Source organism: Homo sapiens, chromosome 20 (genome assembly GCF_000001405.40).
Source record: "Homo sapiens chromosome 20, GRCh38.p14 Primary Assembly".
NCBI classification, from domain to species: Eukaryota; Metazoa; Chordata; class Mammalia; order Primates; family Hominidae; genus Homo; species Homo sapiens.
In genome coordinates, this window is record NC_000020.11 from 1,491,614 (window position 1) to 1,514,599 (window position 22,986).

General features: G+C 41.5%; 1 long non-coding RNA gene across 1 annotated transcript in view, besides 2 other annotated features; it reads left to right on the forward strand.

Moving 5' to 3' along the window:
* Positions 8,967 to 9,518: an enhancer, noted in NCBI's record as "H3K27ac hESC enhancer chr20:1481226-1481777 (GRCh37/hg19 assembly coordinates)". NCBI's record gives its function as "activates a minimal SCP1, AML or CMV promoter by ChIP-STARR-seq in primed H9 embryonic stem cells {active_cell/tissue: H9 hESC(primed)}" and the evidence as "EXISTENCE:reporter gene assay evidence [ECO:0000049][PMID:30033119]".
* Positions 8,977 to 9,177: a silencer, noted in NCBI's record as "peak4119 fragment used in MPRA reporter construct". NCBI's record gives its function as "represses an SCP1 promoter by STARR-seq MPRAs in K562 erythroleukemia cells {active_cell/tissue: K562}" and the evidence as "EXISTENCE:reporter gene assay evidence [ECO:0000049][PMID:32103011]".
* The window catches only part of LOC105372499 (uncharacterized), a 37,633-nt gene continuing 35,594 nt past the window's right edge, over positions 20,948 to 22,986 (forward strand). The window contains exons 1-2 of the long non-coding RNA XR_001754464.2: positions 20,948 to 21,182; positions 21,738 to 21,896. This is a non-coding gene — a long non-coding RNA (uncharacterized LOC105372499). The remainder of the gene's footprint in view (positions 21,183 to 21,737; positions 21,897 to 22,986) is intronic.

Here is a 22,986-nt window from a genome sequence, read left to right on the forward strand (position 1 = left end):
TGCCCGGGAGGGAGGTGGGCACTGAGGTCATAGGACGCACTCCAGAATCGGGTGGAATTTGGAGCAAACATTGGATCTTCCTCTTCTTGGCTGTGCAAGATTTCAAAGTCACTTCCCATTTCTGAGCCTTTTGTTTCTTCATCTGCAGCGTAGGAACAACGGCAGTTCCCTCCTCAGAACAGTTTTGGTAAGATTATGAGAAATAATGTGAGGGCACAGAACAATGTAAATGCTAAACATATTAACCATTATTATTCATGATGTGCAGAAAGTAGAGGAGGTGACATTGCTTAAGAAGAAGGATTTATTATAAAGCAAGCCCCATGGGGGCCTCCTTTTAGCACTGCAGGGAGGGTACAGGCCTAATTCCTAAAAGTATAATCATGTGTAACTCTCTCAGCCTCTGTTTCCTGGGGTCCAAGTGAAACATACTCAGATTGTGCAAACATTTGCGTTTGTGGCATCTTTGTTTCCTGTAAGTGATCTGAACTTCCTCAGGAGCCTCCTGGTGCTGGCTATCAAGAAGGAAAAGCTTAATCTTGCCAATTCATGCAATCCAGGCAATCTCTTTAGCCACACTGTCTGGGTTCAAATCTTGGCTTTACTCAGTCTGGCTGTGTGACCTTAGGACAATCATTTGACCACTTTATGCCTCGGTTTCCTCATCTGTAAAACAGGAATAAAAATGTGGTAGCATGTGTGGGGTGGAGTAAGCACTCTATAGGCTTTCACCATTGTCTTTTAGGTTAACTCAGTCTTTTAATTAACTCAGGGAAAAGTACAAGAACAACTCAGCCTTTCATTATTTCACTTCCTCCCTCATGCTTCAGAAGGTTCTGGGTGCAGAGGAAGCTGAAGATTCTCCAGCAACAGGGTGGCAGGCCTTGGATCTGAGTATGTCCCCTGGGTCCCAGAGGTCTGGTGTCTACTATGAGGAGGTTAGTCTGGCCTGGTCCCCAAGGACTTTGCACTGGGTCTGTGACTGGTCTTTTCTAGACTTTTGAGGCCTTGCATTGATACCCCTGCTCAATTCCATTACTCCCTCTACTTGTTCTCCTGTCAATGAGATCTATATAGTGAAACTTCTTTGAAAGGGCCACAAGCCTAGATGATTCCACCAGACCCTCAGTACTTTCCATGTCATTCTTACACGGGAATTTCTGAATCACCTGCTCATCTATGCAGATTTCTTTCTCAGCTATTGTTTTTTTCTAAAGTTTTACTTACAAATAATTTTATTTTAATAGGCAAGGCATTGTATTGGTTAGCTATTGCTGCATAACAAAGCACCCCAAAATTTAGAAGCTTAAAAACTAAATGTTCAGTTAATTTACTATTTTGTGGGTTGACAATTCAGTCAGGGCTCCATTTGGTGGTTCGGTCTTCTCATCTCAGCAGATTTTGGCTGGGAATGTTCATGCACTTGAGGTCAGCTGCAGGTTGGCTAGGTGGCTTTGTTACTGCGGTTGACTGATTGTTAACCCAGGTACCTCAGCTGTCCTCTATGTGGTCTCTCATCTTCCAGGACACTAACTTAGTCTTGTTCTCATGAAAGGGGCAGTTTTGAGAGACAGTGCAAGGTACAAGGAAACTTCTGCCATATTCTTTTGGCCACATCAAGTTACAAGACCAGACAAGATTCAAGGAATGGAAAATAGACTTTGCCTCTTGTTAGGGAACTGCAAAGCCTAATTGCAAAAGGTGTGGATACAAAGAGGGGGTATAGAATTGTGGATATTTTTGTGATTTATCTGCCATGGGCATCTACAGGTACAAAATTCAGAGGTCTCAGTGTCTCATTTATAGGGCTCCCAGACATTACTTTCCTTAGGGTTAACCACAGTCACCAGTTTTTGAAGACATTCATTTCCTTTACTGTTTCTGATCTAGTGCTCAGAAGCCAGGTTGAATATGGTTTCTTTGTGATGTCGTGGACTATGAACACCCTGGGAAGACAGGCCATGATCCCTTATGCTGTAGGAATCCCTAAACTCCATTCCCACCCCACCCCAGCATTTGGACCTCAGGACTGTGGGGTTGGCAGGACTCTAGCATCTCAACCCCTGTCTTCTCCCTCTTTTTCTTACTTCCTCACCAAGTCATAAGGGGAGGAGTTCCCCTTCTTTTCCTTCTGGTAGGGACTTTCCTAATCTCAGTCTTCTTCCTAACAGCTGGCCTTCTTTGTTCTAGATGGAATCCCTCCTGCCCCTTCCTCAAGACAGCAAGTCTCACACTCCAGCTTAGAATAGGAAAAAAGCTTCCAGGGAAGGAATTAAACTGCTGGGAGGTGGAGAAATGCAAAAGGAAATAGTTAAAAATGTTATATCTGTCACGTCATCTATAAAACACATGAAATGCGATTGCGCGTGAAGCACTGGCTTGCGATAATTGCTCAGTAACTAGGAACAGTGGCATTCCTCCTGGTCAGTGTGCTTGGGTATCACATGAACTATAGTGTCTATTACTAGCCTGAGTTAAGTTATCCTCAACAAGAGCACCCGAGGTATATATAGAACACAAGTCTACCCATAAAGCTTTTTTTCCTTCCACTACAAAAATGGAACTTTGTTAAAACAACAGCTTTTTGATTGTTTACCATAAAATGGAAAACATACTAAGCAAGCACAGGGAAAGCGTTCAACCTTAGCAGCAATCAAGTAAATACCAGTCTTAAAAAGAGCAACACTGGTGTCTTTGCAATCAGCATCTATCTCCACTTTTTCTATGCTCTCCTCTTTTTTTGGAGGTTCTAAAAGCCTAAGAACTGCATTTTCTGTAACTCTTTACCATCATTATTCTAGGAGAGAATAATGAACCAAGGAGAGGTTCTTGCTTAGATTTGGAAGGTAAAAGGAGAGGCATGCTTGCTTCTCTAGCCATGAAGAGGGGGCAGATACGTGAGAATTGGTGGATTTAATTTATGCAAATGTGAGGTTTTGCAGTGCTGCCTGTCTTCTATAAATCACCTCTAAAGCACAGGCAGCTGGCATCATTAGCAGCAGTTTCTGTGAGTCTCTCAGATTCCTGATTTTCCAAGAGCTACCAGTGAACTTGAGAGATAAAGCAGTGAGGATTTCCGATGGTCTGTAAACACCAAATGCCACAAGTCCCATGAGAACCAAGCATGGCTTTTTATGACCGAACACAAAAGTCATCCAGCCTCATTTCTTCTCTTTTCATTTAGGAGGAAGCATTTAGTGTCTCAATACTAAAGTCTCTAAGGTCCTCGAACTTGATTTTCTGCTATTGGCAATTTGTCCTGCCTTGTGGCTTGGTTTGCCTTTCTTACTCCCTTTTCCTGTTTCATGTCAAATCCCATGGCTTGCTTTTTGGTGTTTTTGTTTTAAATTTTTATGGAGTTCTGACTTACATACAGAAAAAGGCACAAACATTTAAATGTGCAGTTCAGTGAATTTTTAGACTTTTACATCCATATACATCTGTGTAATAACCACCCCAAGATGTAGAAAGTTCCTTCTTGTTTCATTCCATTCAATCTCTGGCCCCAGAGGCAGCCACCTCTGATTTCTATCACCATAGATTAGTTTTGCCTGTTTTTGGAGTCTTTAGGTTTTTCCAAATATAAGAGCATATCATCTGCAAACAAGGATAATCTGACTTCTTCCTTTACAATTTGGATGCCATTTTTTTCTTTCTCTTCTCTGATTGCTGTAGCTAGGACTTCCATTACTACACTGAATAACAGTGGTGAAAATGGGCATCCTTGTCATGCTCCAGGTCTTAGAGGATAGGCTTTCAGTCTCCCTCATTCAGTACGATACTAGCTGTGCGTTTGTCATATATGGGTTGTACTATGTTGAGGTATAGTCCTCCTAAATCCAGTTTTTTTGAGGATTTTTTTATCATGAAGGGATGTTACATTTTATCAAATGCTTTTTCAGCATCAATTGAAATGGTCATATGGTTTTTGTCCTTCATTCTGTTGATATGATGTATCACATTTATTGATTTGTGTATGGTGAACTATCCTTGATGCTTGCATCCCAGGAATAAATCCCACTTGGTCATGATGAATGAGCTTTTTAATGTATTGTTGAATTCAGTTTACTAATATTTTGTTGGGATTTTTTGCAACAATATTCATTAGAGATATTGGTCTGCAGTTTTCCTTTTTCTATGTGTTTTTATGTGGTTTTGGCATCAGGGTAATACCGGTCTCATAGAATGAGTTTGGAAGTATTCGCTCCTCCTCTATTTTTTGGAATAGTTTGAGTAGGATTGGTAATAGTTCTTCTTTAAATGATTGGTAAAATTCAGCAGTGAAGCCACTGTTTCTTTACTGGGAGACTTTTTATTATAGCTTCAATCTCGTTACTTAATACTGGTCTGTTCAGGTTTTGGATTTCTTCATGGTTCAATCTTGGTAGGTTGTATGTGTCTAGGAATTTGTTTATTCTTTCTAGATTTTCCAATTTATTGGCATAAAGTTGCTCCTAATGATGCTTGGAATTTCTGCAGTATCAGTTGTGATGTCTCTTTTTTCATTGCTGATTTTATTTGGATCTTCTTGCTTTTTTTCTTAGTCTGGCTAAAGGTTTGTAAATTTTGTTTAACTTTTCAAAAAGCCAACTTTTTGTTTCATTGATCCTTTGTGTTGTTTTATTTCCATTTCATTGATTTCTGTTGTGATTTTTTTTTTTTTTTTGAGGCGGAGTCTCTCTCAGTTGCCCAGGCTGGAGTCCAGTGGCATGATCTCGGCTCACTGCAACCTCCGCCTCCTGGGTTCAAGTGATTCTCCTGCCTCAGCCTCCCGAGTAGCTGGGATTACAGGCACCCACCACCACGTCCAGCTAATTTTTGTATTTTTAGTAGAGATGGTGTTTCACCATGTTGGCCAGGCTTGTCTCAAACTCCTGACCTCAGATAATCTGCTCGCCTTGGCCTCCCAAAGTGCTGGGACTACAGGTGTGAGCCACCACGCCTGACCTCTGCTGTGATCTTTATTATTTCTTTTCTTCTACTAATTTTGGATTTGGTTTGCTCTTTCTTTTTCAGTTAAGATGCATCATTAGGTTGTTTATTTGAAGTTTTTCTTCTTTTTTGATGTAGGCACTAATGGCTATAAACTTTAATACTGCTTTTGCTATATCAAGTTTTTGTATGTTGTGTTTCCATTATCATTTCTTTCAATATATTTTTCAATTTCTTTCTTACTTTCTTCATTGACCCACTGGTTATTCTGGAGCATATTATTTAACTTCCAAGTATTTGTATAGTTTCCTAAATTCCTCTGTTATTAACTTCTAGTTTTACTCCATTGTGGTCAGAGAAGATACTTGATATTATTTCAATTTTTTGAATGTTTTAAGACTTGTTTTGTGACCTAATATGTCTATTCTTGAGAATGACCCATGTGCTGAGAAAAAAAGAGTATTCTGCAGCTGTTGGATAAAATGTTCTGTAAATATCTGTTAGATCCATTGGATCTATAGTGTACATTATGTCCGATGTTTCGTTGCTGATTTTTTGTCTGGAAGATCTGTCCAGTGCTGAAAGTGGGGTTTTCACATCTTCAACTATTGTTGCACTGGGCCTTTCTCTCTCTTTAGCTTTAGTAATATTTGCTTTATATATCTGGGTGCTCCAGTGTTGGGTGCATATGCATTTAAAATTGTTATATCTTCTTGTTGTATTGACCCCTTTATCATCACATAGTGAGCTTTGTCTTTTCAGTCTACACGTGTCTTTAGAGGTGAAATGGATTTCTTGTAGGCAACAAATCATTGGGCTTTTTTTTTTTTTTTTTTTTTTTTTTTTTTTTTTAGGTGTTATCTCACTCTGTCACCCAGGCTGGAGTACAGTGGCATGATCTTGAATCACTGCAACCTCCGCCTCCCGGGTTCAAGCAATTCTCCCGCCTCAGCCTCCTGAGTAGCTGGGATTACAGGCGCCTGCCACCACGCCTGGCCAAAAGTGCTGGGATTACAGGTATGAGTCACTGTGCCTGGCAGGCCTTTTTTTTTTTTTTTAAATCCATTAAGCCACTCTGTGTCTTTTGACTGGAGAGTTTTTAGTCCATTTACATTCAATGTTATTGATAAGTAAGGACTTACTCCTGCCATTTTGTTATTTGTTTTTTGGTTGTTTTGTAGTTTTCTCTTTCTTCTTTCTTTCCTTCCTGTCTTTTTTTTTTGTGGGTGAAGATGAGCTTTTCTGGTTATATGGTTTAGTTTCTTAATTTTTATTTTTTGTGTATCTGTTGTATATTTTTTGGTTTGAGGTTTCCACGAGGCTTGCAAATACTATTTTGTAACCCATTTTAAAGCTATAACAGCATTGTTTGCATAAACAAACAGAAAGAAAATTAATCAAGACTTTATGCCTTAACTTCTCCCCACCCCATTTTTAACTTTTTGTTGCTTCTAACTACATTTATTGTACCATGTCTTGAAAAGTTTTTGTAGTTATTATTTTTGATTGGTTCACCATTTAGTCTTTCTATTAATATCAGAGTAGCATATATACCACAGTTACAGTGTTACAATATTCAGTATTTTTCTGTGTACTTACTATTACCACCGGGTTTTATACCTTCAGATGATTCCTCATTGCTCATTAACATTCTTTTTTTTTTCTGATTGAAGTACTCCTTTAACATTTCTTGTAGGATGGGTGTGGTGTTGATGAATTCCCTCAGCTTCTGCTTGTCTGGGAAAGTCTTTATTTCTCCTTCATATTTGAAGGATATTTTCACCAGATGTACTATTCTACAGTAAAAGCTTTTTTTCCTTCAGCACTTTAAATATGTCATGCCACTGTCTCCTAGCCTGTTAGATTTCCCCTGAAAAATCTGCTGCCAGATGTATTGGTGGTCTATTGAATGTCATTTTTTCTTTTCTCTTGCTGCTTTTAGGATCCTTTCTTTACCTTTAGATAAAGTTTGATTATTAAGTGTCTTTGGGAGTTTGATTATTAAATGATTATTAAGAGAAGACTTGAGGTATTCTTCTTTGGGTTAAATCTTCTTGGTGTTCTATAACCTTCTTGTACTTGGATATTGATATCTTTCTCTAGGTTTGGGGTGTTCTCTCTTATTATCCCTTTGAAAAAACTTTCGACCCCATCTCCTTCTCTACCTCCTCTTTAAGGCCAATAACTCTTAGATTTGCCTTTTGGAGGCTATTTTCTAGAGCATGTAGGAATGCTATATTGTTTTTCATTCTTTTTTTGTCTCTTCTGACTGTGTATTTTCAAATAATCTGTCCTCAGGCTCACTAATTCTTTCTTCTACTTGATCAATTCTGCTATTAAAAGACACTGATGCATTCTTCAATATGCTAATGGCATTTTTCACCTCCAGATTTCCGCTTGATTCTTTTTAACTATTTCAGTCTCTTTGTTAAATTTATTGATATAATTCTGAACTCCTTCTCTGTGTTGTCTTGAATTTCTTTGAGTTTCCCCAAAACAGCTATTTTGAATTATCTGTCTGAAAGGTCACATATCTCCTTTCTCCAGGATGGGTCCCAGGTTTCTTATTTAGTTCATTTGGTGAGGTCATGTTTTCTTGGATGGTGTTGATGCTTGTAAATGCATCTTCGGTGTCTGGGCATTAAAGAGTTAGGTATTTATTGCAGTCTTCTTAGTCTGAGCTTGTTTGTATCCATCCTTCTTGGGAAGGCTTTCCAGATATTAAAAAAGACTTGGTGTTGTAATTGCATCTATTTCTGCTTTAAGAGGCACTCCAAGCCCAGTAACACTCTGGTTCTTGCAGACCAATAGAGATACTTTCTTGATAACTTCTTTTGGACAAGATCCAAAAGAGTTCTCTGGATTACCAGGCAGAGACTCTTGTTCTCTTCCCTTATTTTCTCCCAAATGAATGGTGTCTCTCTATCTGTTTTGGGTCACCCGGAGCTGGGAGTGGAGTGAAACAGCAGCCTGTGGCCACCACCGCTAGGACTGTGCTGGGTCAGACTTGAAGCCAGAACAGTACTGAGTCCCAAGGCCTGCTGTAACCACTCCCTAGCTGTGGCCTATGTTCACTCAATGCCTTGGGGCTCTATAATCAGAAGGTGGCAAAGCCAGCCAGACCTGTGTTCTTTCTTTCAGGATGGCAAGTTCCCCTCAGGCTCTGGGCATGTCCAGAGGTGCCATCTGGGAGCCAAGAACTAGAGTAAAAAGCCTTAGAAATCTATCTGGCATTCTATCGTACTGTGGCTGAGCTGGCACTCAAACTACAAGATCCAGTTCTTCCCACTCTTTTCTCTTTTCCAAATGCAGAGGAGTCTCACCCCATGACCAACACCACCACAAGCCTATAGGGAGTATTGCCAGACTACCGCCAATGTTCCTTTAAGGCCCAAGGGCTCTTCAGTCAGCTTGTGGTGAATGCTGCCTGGCCCGGAACTCACCCTTCAGGGCAGTGGGCTTCCCTCTGGCCCAGGATAGGTCTAGAAATGCTATTCACCAGCAAAGTCCTGGAACTGGGGACCCCAAAAAACCACTTAATGCTCCACCCCACTGTGGCTGTGCTGGTACCTAACGTGCAAGACAAAGTCCTTCATATTTTTTCCCTCTGTTTTTCTCAAGTGGAAGGAGCCTTGCCTCATAGCCACCACGACTGAGTGGTGAGTCATGTGCTGAGTCTCACCTGAACCAGAAAGTCTCACCCAAGTCCCTCAACGTAGTACCCGGGTATTGCTGCTGGTTATTCAGGGCACAATGTCTCTTTAGTTAGCAGGTGATGAATGCTTCCAGGAGTGGGATCTTTCCTTCAAGGCAGTGGGTTCCCTTGTGGCCCAGAGTGTGTCAAGAAATATCATCCTGGAGCTAGGACCTGAAAAGGGGCCTCACGGTGCCCTATCCTGCTGTGGTTGAGCTGATATCCATGTGGGATATGATGAGGTTTCTCTTCAAATAGCCTGATCAATCCTTTATTCTTTAATTCATAGTACCTCCCCACCCCTTTTTCACTTTTCTCTTTTTTCTTCCTTTCTGTCTTTGTCACATGCCCAGACACGCCACAGTACCAGGTGTTATCAGTACCAGCTCACATTCCTTTCCTTATTTGGCAAGAAGACTTGCTCTCTAGCTCACTGCAGACACCCCTTCCCCTTTCGCCTCTCTTCCTTACATACCCTCCTTATCCGAAAAAAAGTTCAAATGTTTAGCCAACCAGGGTTAATTTAGATTGTACTGCCTGACCATGGCCAATGGGGAAAGGGTACAGGGGCAGGACTTGCTTCAGGAATAAAGGCTCTTGTTCAAGTGTGCTCTCATGGTGACTGGCCAAGGAGAAGCACCCCTCTGTGCAGAAGTAAAATTGCTTTGCTAAGAATCCTTGTTTGAGTGTTCAATTTCCTTAGGATTTTGAGCATTATTCCCAACATCCAAGATGCAAGACAAAGTCCTCCTCATTCTTCCCTCTCCTCTCCTCAAGTGGAGGGAAGAGGCCTCTTTCGTGAGCTGTGCAGCCTGGGGTTAGGGGAAGGGTGATGCCAGCACCTTCTTAGCTGCCCTGGCTTGTGTCTCAGTAGGTTGCATGTTCCCTCAGTCCACTGTCTCTGGGCCCAGTTCAGCACTAGAACTTGCCTAGGAGTTGTAGCTCTTGGAGCCTAGACTGCCTTTCAAGTTTATTTAGAGCCCCAGAGTACTTTAGCCCACAGTGGTAAGGCTTGCAGGAACTGAAGTTCAGACCACTGAGATTGGATTAGCAATTCCCCTCTGGCTAAGGCTGTTTAAATGCTCCCTCTTTGGGTGGGTAACAGCTGAGTTTGGTCCCATTTTGTTTTCTTTTATAATAGGGCAGCACTGAGTTCAATGCTTCACAACTGCTGTGATCTCCCTTTCCCCAGTGCACAGAAATGCTCTCCACACCATGCTGCCACTGCCAGGGGTTAGGAGAGGGGTGGTGTTGGCTATTCAAGACTTTTTTTCTACCTCTTCGGTGCCTCTTTCAGTGATATGAAGTAAAACCAGGTATTGTAACTGCTCATTTGATTTTTAGTTCTTATGAAGGCTCTTTTATTTGTGTGTACACAGTTGTTAAATTAGTGTCCTTCCTGGGGGAGATGATTGCTGGAGGCTTCTATTCCATCATCTTGCTCTGTTGTTTTTATGTTTTCTCATTTATCTCTTTTAACTGAGGTATTTATTTGCCTTTAAAGTAATTACTGACATGGAAGGACTTACTATTTTCGTTTTGTTACTTGTCTATATATATGGATAATACATTCAATATATTTTAATATGTCTTGTCCAGTGGTTTTTGCTCCTTTTCTCCTTTGCTGCCTTCTTGTATGTTTTGTACTGACATATTTTGATTCTCTTTTCAATTCTGTTTGTGTATACAGACAGTACCTGAATGTAAGCCCAGCATAAGATAAAAAGTTCCTATGATTTACAATGGGGTTATGGTTTCTACTAAATGTGTATTATTTTGCATAATTGTAGAGTTGAAAATTTGTAAGTTGAACATAAGTCAGGGACAGTATGCTGTGTTGCCAGCATCAAATGCAATTTTGACTTACAATATTTTTGACTTCTGATGGGTTTATTCTTATGTTATCCCATCATAAGTTGAAGAGCATTGGTATTCTATTCATATTTTATTTGTCATCACCATTGCAACTACACAAAGAGACTTAAAGTTATAGCAAGATATTTTAAACCGATAACAACTTAACTTAAATTGCATATAAAAACTCTACTTCTTTACTTCTCTGCCCTCTTTATGTTACTGTAACAAAACAAATTACCTCTTTTTATATTGTGTATTCATCAACATAGATTTTTAGTTACTTCCCATGCTTTCGCTTTTAAAATTCTATACCAAATTCAAAAGTGATTTATACAGCTATGTTACAATACTTCCAGATTTTATATTTGTCTCTATGTTTATGTTTACCTGGTAGATTTATACTTTTGTATGGCTTTGTGTTGCCATTCATCATCTTTTCATTTCAACTTGAAGGATTCCTTTCAGCACTTCTTTCAGGGCAGGTCTAATGGTGATGAATTCCCTCAGTTTTGTTTATCCAGGAAAGTCTTCATTTCCCCTTCATTTTGAAGGCAGTTTAGTACTATATAGTATTCTTTGTTGGCAGTTATTTTTTCTCTCATCACATCCCACTCCTTCTAGCCTACAAGGGTTCTGTTGAGACTTTAGCTGATGATTTAATAGGAGCTCCTTTGTATGTGACAAGTTGCTTTTCTCTTGCTGCTTTCAAGATTCACTCTTTGTCATTTTTTTTTTAAAACAAAGTTTCCCTCTGTCACCCAGGCTGGAGTGCAGTGGCGTGATCACATCTTGCTGTAGCCACAAATTCCTGGGCTCAAGTGATCCTCCCACTTCAGCCTCTTTTCTATTTTTGACAGTTTAATTGTGTCTTAGTGTAAATGCTGTTAGATTCGTCCTGGTTGGAGCTTGTTGAGCTTTTTGAATTTGTATGTCTACTTTTTCCCTCAGATTAGAAAAATTTCCAGCCATCATTTTTTTTAAAAGTCTCTGTGGTGCCTTCTCTTTTTCTTGTCTGTCTTAGATTCTCATAGTGTGTAGGTTGTTCCATAATGTTACACATAGTGTCCCATAAGTTTCTTATGCTCCTTTTACTTTTCTTAGTTCTTTTTTTCTCCTTTGCTTCAGTAATTTCAAAACTCCTGTCTTTGAATTTGCTGATTCTTTCTTCTCTTGGTAACATCTGTTCCTAAGCCCCTCTAGTGGATTTTTAAATTTAGTTATTGTATTCTGCAGTTCCAGAATTTCTGTGTGGTTCTTCTTCATAGCTTCTATCTCTTTTTTGATATTTTCTTTTTGTTCATCCATTGTTTTCCTGATTTCATTTAGTTGTCTGTCTGTACTCTCTTTTAATTCATTGAAAATTCTTATGATTATTATTTTGCATTTTTTTGGTCAGATAATTCGTGTATTTTTTTGGGGTCAGTTTCTAGAGATGTAATGTGTTTCTTTGAATAGGCCATGTTTTCCTGTCCCTTTATATGTCTTCTTATCTTCTCTTGGTACTTTGGCATTTGAAAACTCAGCTACCCCGTGCAGTCTTTGTGGTCTGGTTTTCTACAGGGAGGACTTTCTCCAATCAGCCTGGCTAGAGAATCTGGAGACCTGTCAACCCTTCTCTGGGAATGCACCCTTTTGGGACTTAGTGTGTAATCACGTAACGGAAGAGGTCTTTCTATTGAAGCGCTCCCTCTAGTGTCTGCCTATGATGCTGCGGTCTGGCTGGTGCTGCAGTAAGCCACGGTACTGAAGTTCCACCTAGTTTCTGTCTGTGATACTGCAGACTGATGCTAGAACAAACTAATAGCTCCACCTATTATTTATCTGTGATACTGCATATTTTGGTGCTAGACCAAGTCATGTTGATCATCTTCGTTTTCAGTGGCCTCAAACCTGGTCCTCATTCCCGTCAGCATTTAAATTCAGGCAAGATGGAAACTAGTCCTTTGGCAGCACCCCAAAAAGTCAAAATATTGGATCAATGTTCCACTCCTTTCCCCTCCCAAAGAGAAGTCAGGAGTTGGGGTTTCTTCCCAGTTTGCATGATTATTAATGCTACTGAGCACCTTATAATATTTAACAAAGTTTTTTTTTTTTCCCAATAAAATAGTGCACTTTCTCAGGGCCATGCTGGGTACTTTCATTAAATTAATACTTCATTTTTTACTTCACTACTCAACGTAGCTGAGCAGTTTCCAGTGTACAACACAGTGACACAGGTTTCCCTTGTCCAGGACTTAGAAATTGGAGCTAGATCCCTCCGTCTTGCTCCTTGGATCTATCTTCCACCCCAGGTCCTATGTAGCCCGGCTCCACTTGGAGTGGGATTTCTTTCAATCACCCTGGTTGTATACCCTGGTCAAGGTCAGCCTTAGTCTTAGGTCTTTTATCAGTAAGGAAGCAAGTCCTCTTCTGTCCGATTTTCTACGTGATGTAATTGATCTGAGCTGTGCTGTTTCGTGAGCATTTATCTGGTAGTCTCCCAACATCCCGGGAAGCAACACCTCCCTAAAGCAGCCTGAACACCTGGATTCCGACTATTTTTTGTGTCTGTTAAATATTTTTAGGCTTCCTTTTGACATGCCTATGTATGCAGCGCTTTTGTTCTCACCAAATATTCAGGCATCATTATTTCGGCAGCAGAATGTCTAGCTAGGAAGGACCTAAACGCCTTCCCCACACCGTGTGTGTGTGTGTGTGTGTGTGAGAGAGAGAGAGAGAGAGAGAGAGAGGGAGAGAGATACGTGTGTTATGGCGAGTGTGTGTTATAGAGAGGGAAAGAGAGATAAATGTGTTATAGCTGCAGTGGAGCAGAAAGACCTCTGCTTCTGGTCAGGGGGATCTGGGTTTAAATCCTGCCCTTGGCCTGATGAGGTGGCAAGAATATGGGCAAGTCATAAATCACCCCAGCCTTAGTCCTTAGTTTCCCCTTTCCTCTGCTCCAGAGGTGGCAGTGAGAGAAAAGAAGAATGGAAGAGCAAGGTGGAAAATAGCCAAGAAGCCCACCATCACTCATATTGAATGAGAGATTGCAATTTTTATTACCTGAATAATAGGTACCATTACTGCCTCTTAGGAGGAATAATTTGGCAGATTTGAAAGGGCAGTGGTGAAGAAGAATGAAGCAGCTTTCTGCTTCAACCCTACTGAGTCCAGCTTGTTCAATAAACTGGGTACAGGGACAGGAACACAAAGGGAGACTGTTCAACAAGTTTGGGTAAACTTGACTTGGAAAGAAATTGGGGAAGGTTGTTGTTATTTTGTATGGGCTTTTCCTTTCTCGCTCGTCTTGGTCTGCCATGTTAGTAGCCTTTGGGTTCAGCCTCCCAGCACCTTGTTCTGTGTGCTTTATCCTATACACAGGAGCATCCCACAAGTAGGGTTGGCAGTAAAGTTGGCCAGGGGCCACCGATGTGGGTGGACTGGATGTGGCCAGTCATGGTGCCTGGGGCCTCAGGCTCTGTTAACTGGATTTATCCTAAGAAGGGAGGGGCAGGGCAGGAGAGTGCTTGGAGCCAGAGAGAAGATAGAGAATTTCAACCCTGTTACTCAGAAGAGGTGAAGCAAAGGGCAGCTCTTTCTTCACTTTCCCTCCCTGGAACCTGGTAATGACACATGACAATGCTCCACATCAGAGAATGCATCTTTCAGGAGCCAGGGAAATGGTAGACATTGATCAGCCCTGGGTTTGAGGCCAGAACAAGCACACAAACTCCTTCTTACTATCCAGTATTCATTGCTACCTTCCCAAAGAGTGATTTTCATAAATATTGTGATAACTTCTAGCCACAGATCATGGGACAAGCTATTAGAGCTGGCAGGACTAAGGAATGTTCTCTGCAGCCCTAGACCTAGGGGCTCTCTCTTCTTTCTCCCCCTCTGTCTCCTGCTGTCTATTCATCCTTCTCTTCATTTCTGCTCTCACCCCAATATGAGAGATTGTAGGGTGTAGTCACTGATTCATTCAACAAATATTAGCATGCGCTATGTACCAGAACTATTCTTGGTGCTTAGGATACATCAGTGAATAAGGCAGACAAAACTCACTGTCCTTATTAACTGAAGTACACATCCCAATTGGGGAGGCAGGCAATACACAATAATAAATAAAGTAAATAAGTAAATGATATAGTATCTTAGAAAGTGATAAGGCCTGTGGAAAGAAATATAGACCAGGGAAAGGGGGTTGGGGTAAGCAGGTGGTGAGGGGCTGTGAGGGCCAAGGTAAGAACTTTGGCTTTACTTGCAGTGAGATGAGCAGCTGTAGCAAGTTTTGGGAAGAGGTGGGACATGATCTGGCCTTTGTTTGAAAGGATTCCTATGCTGGCTATAGGGAGACCAGTGAGGGGCTAATGGCAGCAATCCAGGAACGAGAGGATGAAGGGTGAAATCTGGCAATGGGGATAGTGAGAAATAGTCAGATTCTGAATATATTTTAAAGCTAATGTAATTTCCTGACATAAAGGGAGCGGGATAAGAGAGGAGAGGAATCAAGCATACCTCCTAGGTTTTTGGCTCATCAGCTGGAGAGATGGAGTTCTTATCAGCCGAAATGGGGGAGTCTGTGGGTGGAGCAGAGTTTTGGGGGATAAGCAGAAGGCCAGATTTTGGGATGTAAGCTTTGAGATATTATTGGGCAGACAAATGGAGCTGTTGAGTAGACAGATGGACATGAAATTCATGGGGGAAGTCCCAGCTGGAGAAATAAATTTGAGTCCTTGAGCTATATTTCAATGATATATAAGGCCATTGGACTGGACAAAAGTATCAGAAGAGAGTATGTGGTAGTTAGGAACAAGGGAGTTTGAACCAGACTGCCTGGGTTCAAACTCCAGCCAGGCACTTAGGAGCTGTGCAACCTTGGACAAGTCAATAAAATTTTGTGTCTCATTTTTTCTCATTTGCAAAATTAAGGTAAGTATAGGTTATACCTCATCTGGTTGTTATGAGAGTAACGCAGTTTATAACACGGAAAGTACTCAGAACAGTCTGGCACACAGCACGCTTTCAGTGTATGTCAGCTACCTATCTGTTTTGCAGCAGATATGAATTGCTCCATAATACCTGAATATTACTTAATTACAGTTTTTTTGGAAACAATCTTCATCTGGTAGAAAAGTTACAAGTGTGGGATAAAGAGCCTCTTTTCAGAAACATCTGTGAATAAATTGCTGGCATATTGCCTTATCGTCCCTGGTTATGGCTTGGATGTTGGTATCTCCCCAAATCCACATGTTAGCACCTAATAGCCAATGTGATGGTAGTAAGAGGTAGGGCCTTTGGGGAGTGATTAAGTCATGAGGAATCCACCCTCATGAATGGGATTAGTACCCTTAGAAAAGAGGCTCAAGAGAGCTCCTCAGCCATCTTTTGTCATGTGAGTACACAGCGTTTATCCCCTCTGCCATGTGAGGACAGGGAGCAAGGTGACATCTTGGAAGTGAGGGCAAACCCTCACCAGATGGTGAACCTGCTGGTGCCTTGACCCTGGACTTCCTAGCCTCCAGAAATGTGAGAAATGAGCTTTTGTTGTTTATAAATTACCCAGCTAATGGCATTTTGTTATAGCAGCCCAAACGGACTAAGACACCCCTGAATATCTCAGTGCGTATTTCCTACAAATAAGAACATTTTCCTGCATGACCACCAGACCATCAAAATCAGGAAATTAACATAGGCACATTATTACCATCTTATCTTTAGATTCCCTACAAGTTTTGCCAATTGTTTCAATAACATGTTTTTATAGAGAAAGGATCCAGTTACATTTAGTTGCCATACCTCTCTAGTTTTCCTTAATATAGAAAAAAAATCTCCTTTCCTTTACTTTATGACCCTGACACTTTTTAAAAGTATAGGCCAGTTATTGTGTAGAATGCCCCTAATTTTGTATTTTTCTAACACTTCCTCATGATGAGAGTCAGGTTTTGGCACCTTTGGCAGGAATATCTGGAAGTGATGCTGTGTTCTCATTGCTTCCAATCAGAAGGCACACAATCGGTCCCATTACTAGTCATGTTCACTTTGATTACTTTGTGATGTCTTCCAGGCATTTCCACTGTATTCTTTTTTCCTTTGTAATAAGCATGTAATGTTAAGATTTTTTTTTCTTAATCCTATGAAATCCAGTTTGAGCATGTGCCTCTACCATGGTTGGAGAGAAAGTGAATAGCAGCTATTTTCCATAGCTCCCCACTCCACTCTTGGATTGGATCAGGGCACCGGGGCTGTTGCCTTCCAAGACAAAGGAGATGAATTCTGGTTCTCAGTCTTTATGGGTCACTATGGCCATTGCTCTTTGTCCAGGCCTAACTGGACAAAGTCCCATTTGAAGTTGGCCGGTTCTACTACCTGCTGCAGTCTCTCTATGACAAGCTCTTCCTTGGGGATATTTGATGAAGCTCCCAAAGTTCTGGTTCTTGAAGCCAAAATCTTCTCTGGCATGAATTCAGCACCTCACAGGCCTGGAAATGTCTAGGGCTTTGCATCCTAGGAGGGTGCAGTTTTCCATAGCTCACTGAATTCACCATCCATTTTGGAAGATACCCTTGTTTGGGCCTCTGCACAGCCAAATGTCCCTCCTGCCTTGCTAACAGAATAGCCATTCCACCCAGCAACAGTTTCAGGGAAACCTAGGCCCTTCCCCAGCCCCAGGAGATGAATCATCATTGGTCCAAGGCAGTTATGGCAGCCAGTCCCCTGAGGCTGGGACACATGTTGAGATGTGAAGGGGAGTTGTCTGGAGGCTTCTGGGGAAAAAATTCAAGTAGCTCACTGTCTCTGTGCACAGAGAATGAATATGGTAAAACAGACAAACACACAAATAAACAAACAAAAAACACTTGTATATGGATGAGTCCAATATCACCTTTATTAAAGCATCACAGAAACTACAGGTTGTGGATTTTGAGCTTTAGTTTCTGAGAACAAGGTAAATAAATAATAAATAAGTCTGAACTTTCCTTCTATCTGACTTTTTTGCTTTTTCTTGCCAAGCCTGAGATCACTTACATCAGGGACTCTGGAAAAAAAATGAGGGTTCCGAATGGTTTTCATGAAACTCATTCTTTTCTCTCTTCCCACCTTTTACTAATGGAAGAGTATTAGAAATTTATAGGGATAAGGCACACAGGGAATTGGTGTGTTTTGCGTGGTTAATGCAGACATCTTTTTTTTTCTTTTCTAGCTTTGCTGAGGTATAACTCACGCATAAAAAATGTATAGTTTGAAGATTCGAGTATGTTCACAGGGTTAAGATTCACTCGACTTTAGCGTGTAGAGGATTCTGACGCATCGTTATAAAACATGCCTGCTGGTGTCACTGCAGAGCTCTGGCAGTGCTGTTTTCACCAATGCCTTTCCTTCAGTATTGTATGTTTGACAGTGGCCAAATTAGGCAGCAGAAAAATGTGATGCATCTGCCTCATGGGAGGCTGTCACCGCAGAAACAGAGAGCAAATGCACCTTTAAGTTGCAAAAGCTGAGATCCAGATGGAAGATGCAAACGTTTGGAAAAATATGGGCTCTGCAGAGCCAGCCCCTTCCTCACCACTTACCCCTGACCCAACCTCCATCTTGATTACCTGAGGGGGCATTGCCCAGTTTGTGGGAGAGGGGAGGAGTGCTTGAGAGAACCAACATTGATGGGCCCCTGACAAGAGTACTACAACCTGCTCCCGCAAACCCCAGGTCAAATTTGGAGGAGCTGGGGAGTTAGGAGGACTTGTGTCTTCCTTCCTGGTGACATGGTTCCTGGAGTTCCAGCTCCCAGCCTGGCCTGGCAGCAGAAGAGCAGAATGGGATCTATGCTCAACTTAGGGGGAGAGGACCTGAGACCATCCTGCAGAATCTTCTGGGGGTGCCAGAGTAGTCACATTTTCCAGTGTGCTTAAGAAGATTATGGGTGGAGCTGAAATCCAATGGTGTGGAGAAGCTCTGGGATCAGAAAGAAGTTATTGCTAGAAGCCCCTGTGTGGATCTACTGCCAGGAGCTTCACAGGGGGCAGACATCTTAGCAGATACCTGCATGGACTGATGTCACCAAGGCACCTTAGACACCACTGGGGATGCGGAGGCTGGGGGACCCCGTTTTGATGGAGGAGATCCTAAATTGACCATGATTAAGCTCATGGGTAGGGTGTTTAAAATATAAATTATGTAACAAACCTGCACGTTGTGCACATGTACCCTAAAACTTAAAGCATAATAATAATAAAATTTAAAAAAAAGATTATGGAGAAGTTTTAAAAAGTAATACTTTTGCACACCTGGAATTGTGGCTTGAGAGTTGTGTTGTTTTATTTTGATCATATCACCTAATACCTTTAGGACACAATTTCCACATTTGTGAACTAGGACTGGGGAGAAGAGATTGTACAAAGTGGTACCAAAAGCTTTACCAGCTCAGATTGGCTATGATGCTAAAGGTGCAGTGGGTCTTAGATGTCTCATTGCTCACCTTGAATGCTTTCTGTCTCTGTTACTCTCTTTGCAGGACCTTCTCCCAGTTTCCATTGAGGTTACTGAAGATTACCAAGACAGACCAGGGTGACAGGGAACAAGGGGGCATTTCCAGCCCCTGCAGATATCAGATCCTTTTCACCACTAGTTCAGACCATATTTTATTATTTTTAAAGTGATTTGTTGAAGAAATATGCCAACAACTCTCAGTAGATATGAAAATAGAAAGGAAAAATATATCTATAATCATGCCGTCTTGACAAATGAAAGCATTCTGTCTTTCTGCTTTCTCTTCCAGTCCATGCCTGCATAAGTATTAATACTTGTTTTGCACCAGAGCGTGGAGACTGCATTGTATCAAAGGGCTTTTGGGAGACCAGAAGGATGGAAAAGGAAAATCTGGATATTTTAGCTCTGCTGATTGGCTGCCCTGGCAACAGACCAAATGACTCCAAAAATAACTCTCCAGCTCTGACCCGTCTCCTGAACTTCAGATGCATCTGTCCGTGTGCCTACTTAACAGCTCCACTTTGATGACGAACCAACATTATATTTAACATGTTTAAAATGGAACTGTTAATTCAGTTCCATTCCACCACCAAACCCATCCCTCCACCTGTCTTCCTCATCTCATCCATTGCTCAACCTTGTCATGAAGTCATCTCCAATCCTCCCTCTCCATTGCCTTTCACATTCAGTCCCCAAGCAAGTCCTGTCACTTCCAATTTTAGGCTCACCTCCCGTTAGTCAATTTCTCTCCATCTCTGCTGGCACCACCTAGCTTAGATTACCCATTGACTCTGGGTTTACTGCAATAACCTCACATCTGAATTTTCTGATTATTTGCTTTCCCCTTGTCTACTTGCTCCACGGAAGTCATTGTGATTTCTTAAAATGTAAATCTTGTATTTGCTTGGTGTAATTTGCAATCTGGGCAGTGAGACATCTGAGAGTCTCTACCTCTGCAATGTCGTCCCATTGTTTAAATAAATCCCAAAGTCTCCACTGTGACCAGTATCCCTGTGTAATCTGTCTCCTGCCCATACCTCCAGCATTGTCCCATGTCCCATTGCTCACACTCTCCAGCCCCACTGGTTCCCTACCATTTCCTGAACCTTCCATGCTCCTTCATACCTTAAAGTTTGGCATAATAGGTTCCCTCCAACAAGAAGGTATTTCCCAGGCTCTTTGAAACTTCCAGATGTCAGCCCAAATGTTCCTGTTTCAGAAAGGCTACTAGCTTACCATTCTGTCTAGCTAGCAGCACTTCATTATTAACTCTGTGAAGATCTCTATCCTAGCAATCCCCATTATTTGTGCACTGTTTTTATTTTCTTCAGAGCACTCATCACATTTGAAATTCTTTCTTCCTTCCTCCCTCCCTCCCTCCCCTGTATCACTCCCACCTTTCTTTCCTTTCTATCTGTCCTCATCAGACTGTACCCTCACCACAAGGGTGAGGACCACTTTTACCAATGCTTACTAATGTTTGCTCAGTGCCCACACAGTGCTTGAAATATAGTGTGCGCTCAGGAATATGTGTGGAATAAACAAAGGCATAGCCTTCTTTGAAATGAACAAATGTTCATCTGGAAACTCTGGACTGGGCTTCCTTAGGATATGGGTGGTTTCCTTAAAAGGATAGGCAATCTTTATGTTCAAGTTGTGACTTTTCTGGCAGCTTCATTTTTCCTCTGGCTTCAAGGTATGCAACACCTGGGATATCCTCTATGTCCTTCTTGATGTATGATTTGGGGACATCCTCTATGTCCTTTTTGAAGTATGATTGGGGGAATGAGGAACTAGCTAAAGTTTTTGAGAAAATGTTACATGTATATATCACACACACACACACGTTTTTGAGACAGGGTCTTGCTCTGTCCCTCAGGCTGGAGTGCAATGGCGCCATCACAGCTCACTGTAGACTCTTCCTCTTGGGCTCAAGTGATTCTCACATTTCAGCCTCCTGAGTACTTAACAGGTATGTGTTATCACACCCAGCTAATTAAAAAAAATTTTTTTTTGTAGAGACCAAGTCTCATTACGTTGCCAAGGCAATATATACCCAGGTCTTGAATTCTTGTTCTCAAGTGGTCTTCCTGCCTTGCACCCCCAAAGTATTAGGGTAACATGTGTGAGTCACTGGAACCCCAAGAAAATGTTTTAAGAGGCCATTTTGATGTAAAGGATGGATGCGAGGCTCCAGAGCAAGACCTGGAAGGAGGCTGTTGGAGTGACCTAGGTAAGTATTGACAAGGGTCTGGGTGACCATGCAGATGAACAGGAGAGGACAGGATTAATGAGACTTGGAAACTTAGGGCACCTAGGGCACAAAATGTAGAGACAAGATGTATTAGTCCATTCTTATGCTGCTAATAAAGACAACCCGAGACTGTAATTTATAAGGAAAGAGGTTTAATTGACTTACAGTTCAGCATGGCTGGGAAGGCCTCAGGAAACTTACAGTCAAGGCAGAAGAGAAAGCAAACATGTCCTTCTTCACATGACAGCAGCAAGGAGAAGTGCAGAGTGAAGGTGGGGGAAACCCCTTATAAAATCATCAGGTCTCGTGAGAACTCACTCACTATCATGAAAATAGCATGAAGGTAACTACCACCATGATTCAATTCAATCACTTCCCACCAGGTCCCTCCCATGATACATGGGGATTATGGCAACTACAATTCAAGATGAGATTTGGGTGGGGATACAGCCAAACCATATCACAAGGTGTTATACATGCTGACACTGCGCTTGCTCAGGCCTCAGAATGAGTGTCTTACTTTTTGTTTCCTAGGAACTTTGCCTCATCCTAGTCCTGGCTCTGCTTCAAGGGGGAGGTAAATTATAATTCTTGTTTCATGATACCCTCATCATTGAAGAAGGCCAAGACATCCTCAAGGTCCTCAACATTGGAGCCCAGGAATGGGAATATTGAAGCTGAAGCACCTCTATTGTGAGTAGAAAATTTTGAAAAGGAGATGCATATCTGAGGGAGAATATCTCTGTTTCTGTGACTATAAAGGTTCAAAGTCACAGTAAAACTACATAATAAAAATAGAGCAGGATGTTTATCTCCTCTGGGCATACTTACCCTTTTACAAAAAGCCTTTTCTGTAAAAGGCTTTTCTGGACTACGTCATCTTCCAAAGTCTTCACAGGGCCATTTTGGTGCTTATAATGAACCCTCGATCTACTCCAGGGACACATTTCAAACCTGGGAAAGGGCACACATGTGTTCTTCCCTTTCCCTCACCACCCATAGGCATCAGGTTGGCTTTACTGTAGAACCGTTGGCCTGACAGGCCAGGAAGCAATAGATTGAGGATGGGTGAAGATCACCCATCTGTGTCTAGAATGCTGGGCAATGTGGCTCCTTGGAAAGCAGTGACAAGAGTTGGGTTTGAATCTGGATTTCTTGGTTCTACCACTTGTTATCTAAGTGACATTGGGCAGGTCCCCTCATCTGCAAAATGGAGCATGGTGCCCACCTTGTAAGACTGGTATGAGGATGAAATGAGATAAAACCACACATGAAGTCCCAGGCCCATGGTGGCACCCAGTAACTGTTTTTCTTCCTTATATGGAACTGTAGAATGTCACAATAGGAAGGGAACTTGGGGTTCTCTAGATAATGTCCCTCCATTTATTTTTTTCCTTTGAATCTTAAGTACACAGAATTGTACCTATCATAATTCATGTTGCATGATACTATAATTATTGACAATGCATGACCCTTTTTATTAATTTGTTTACCTACCCCTTCATCTATATAGCTGCCCTTTGGTCATTTGTTCACCCATCTGTCTACCCATCCATCCATCCGTCCATCTGTCCATCCATTCATCCATCCATCCATCTATCTTCCCTCACTCCCTCTCTCCCTTCCAATCAACCATGCATCTATCTATTTACCTGCATACCTATATCAATTTTATATTGTTAATCTGTCCATTTAAAAAAAATCTTAATATAAACATTTGTGAAGCCACCATCCATCATGAAAGCTAGAACCTTCACGATAATTTCCACCTATCTTTATGTAC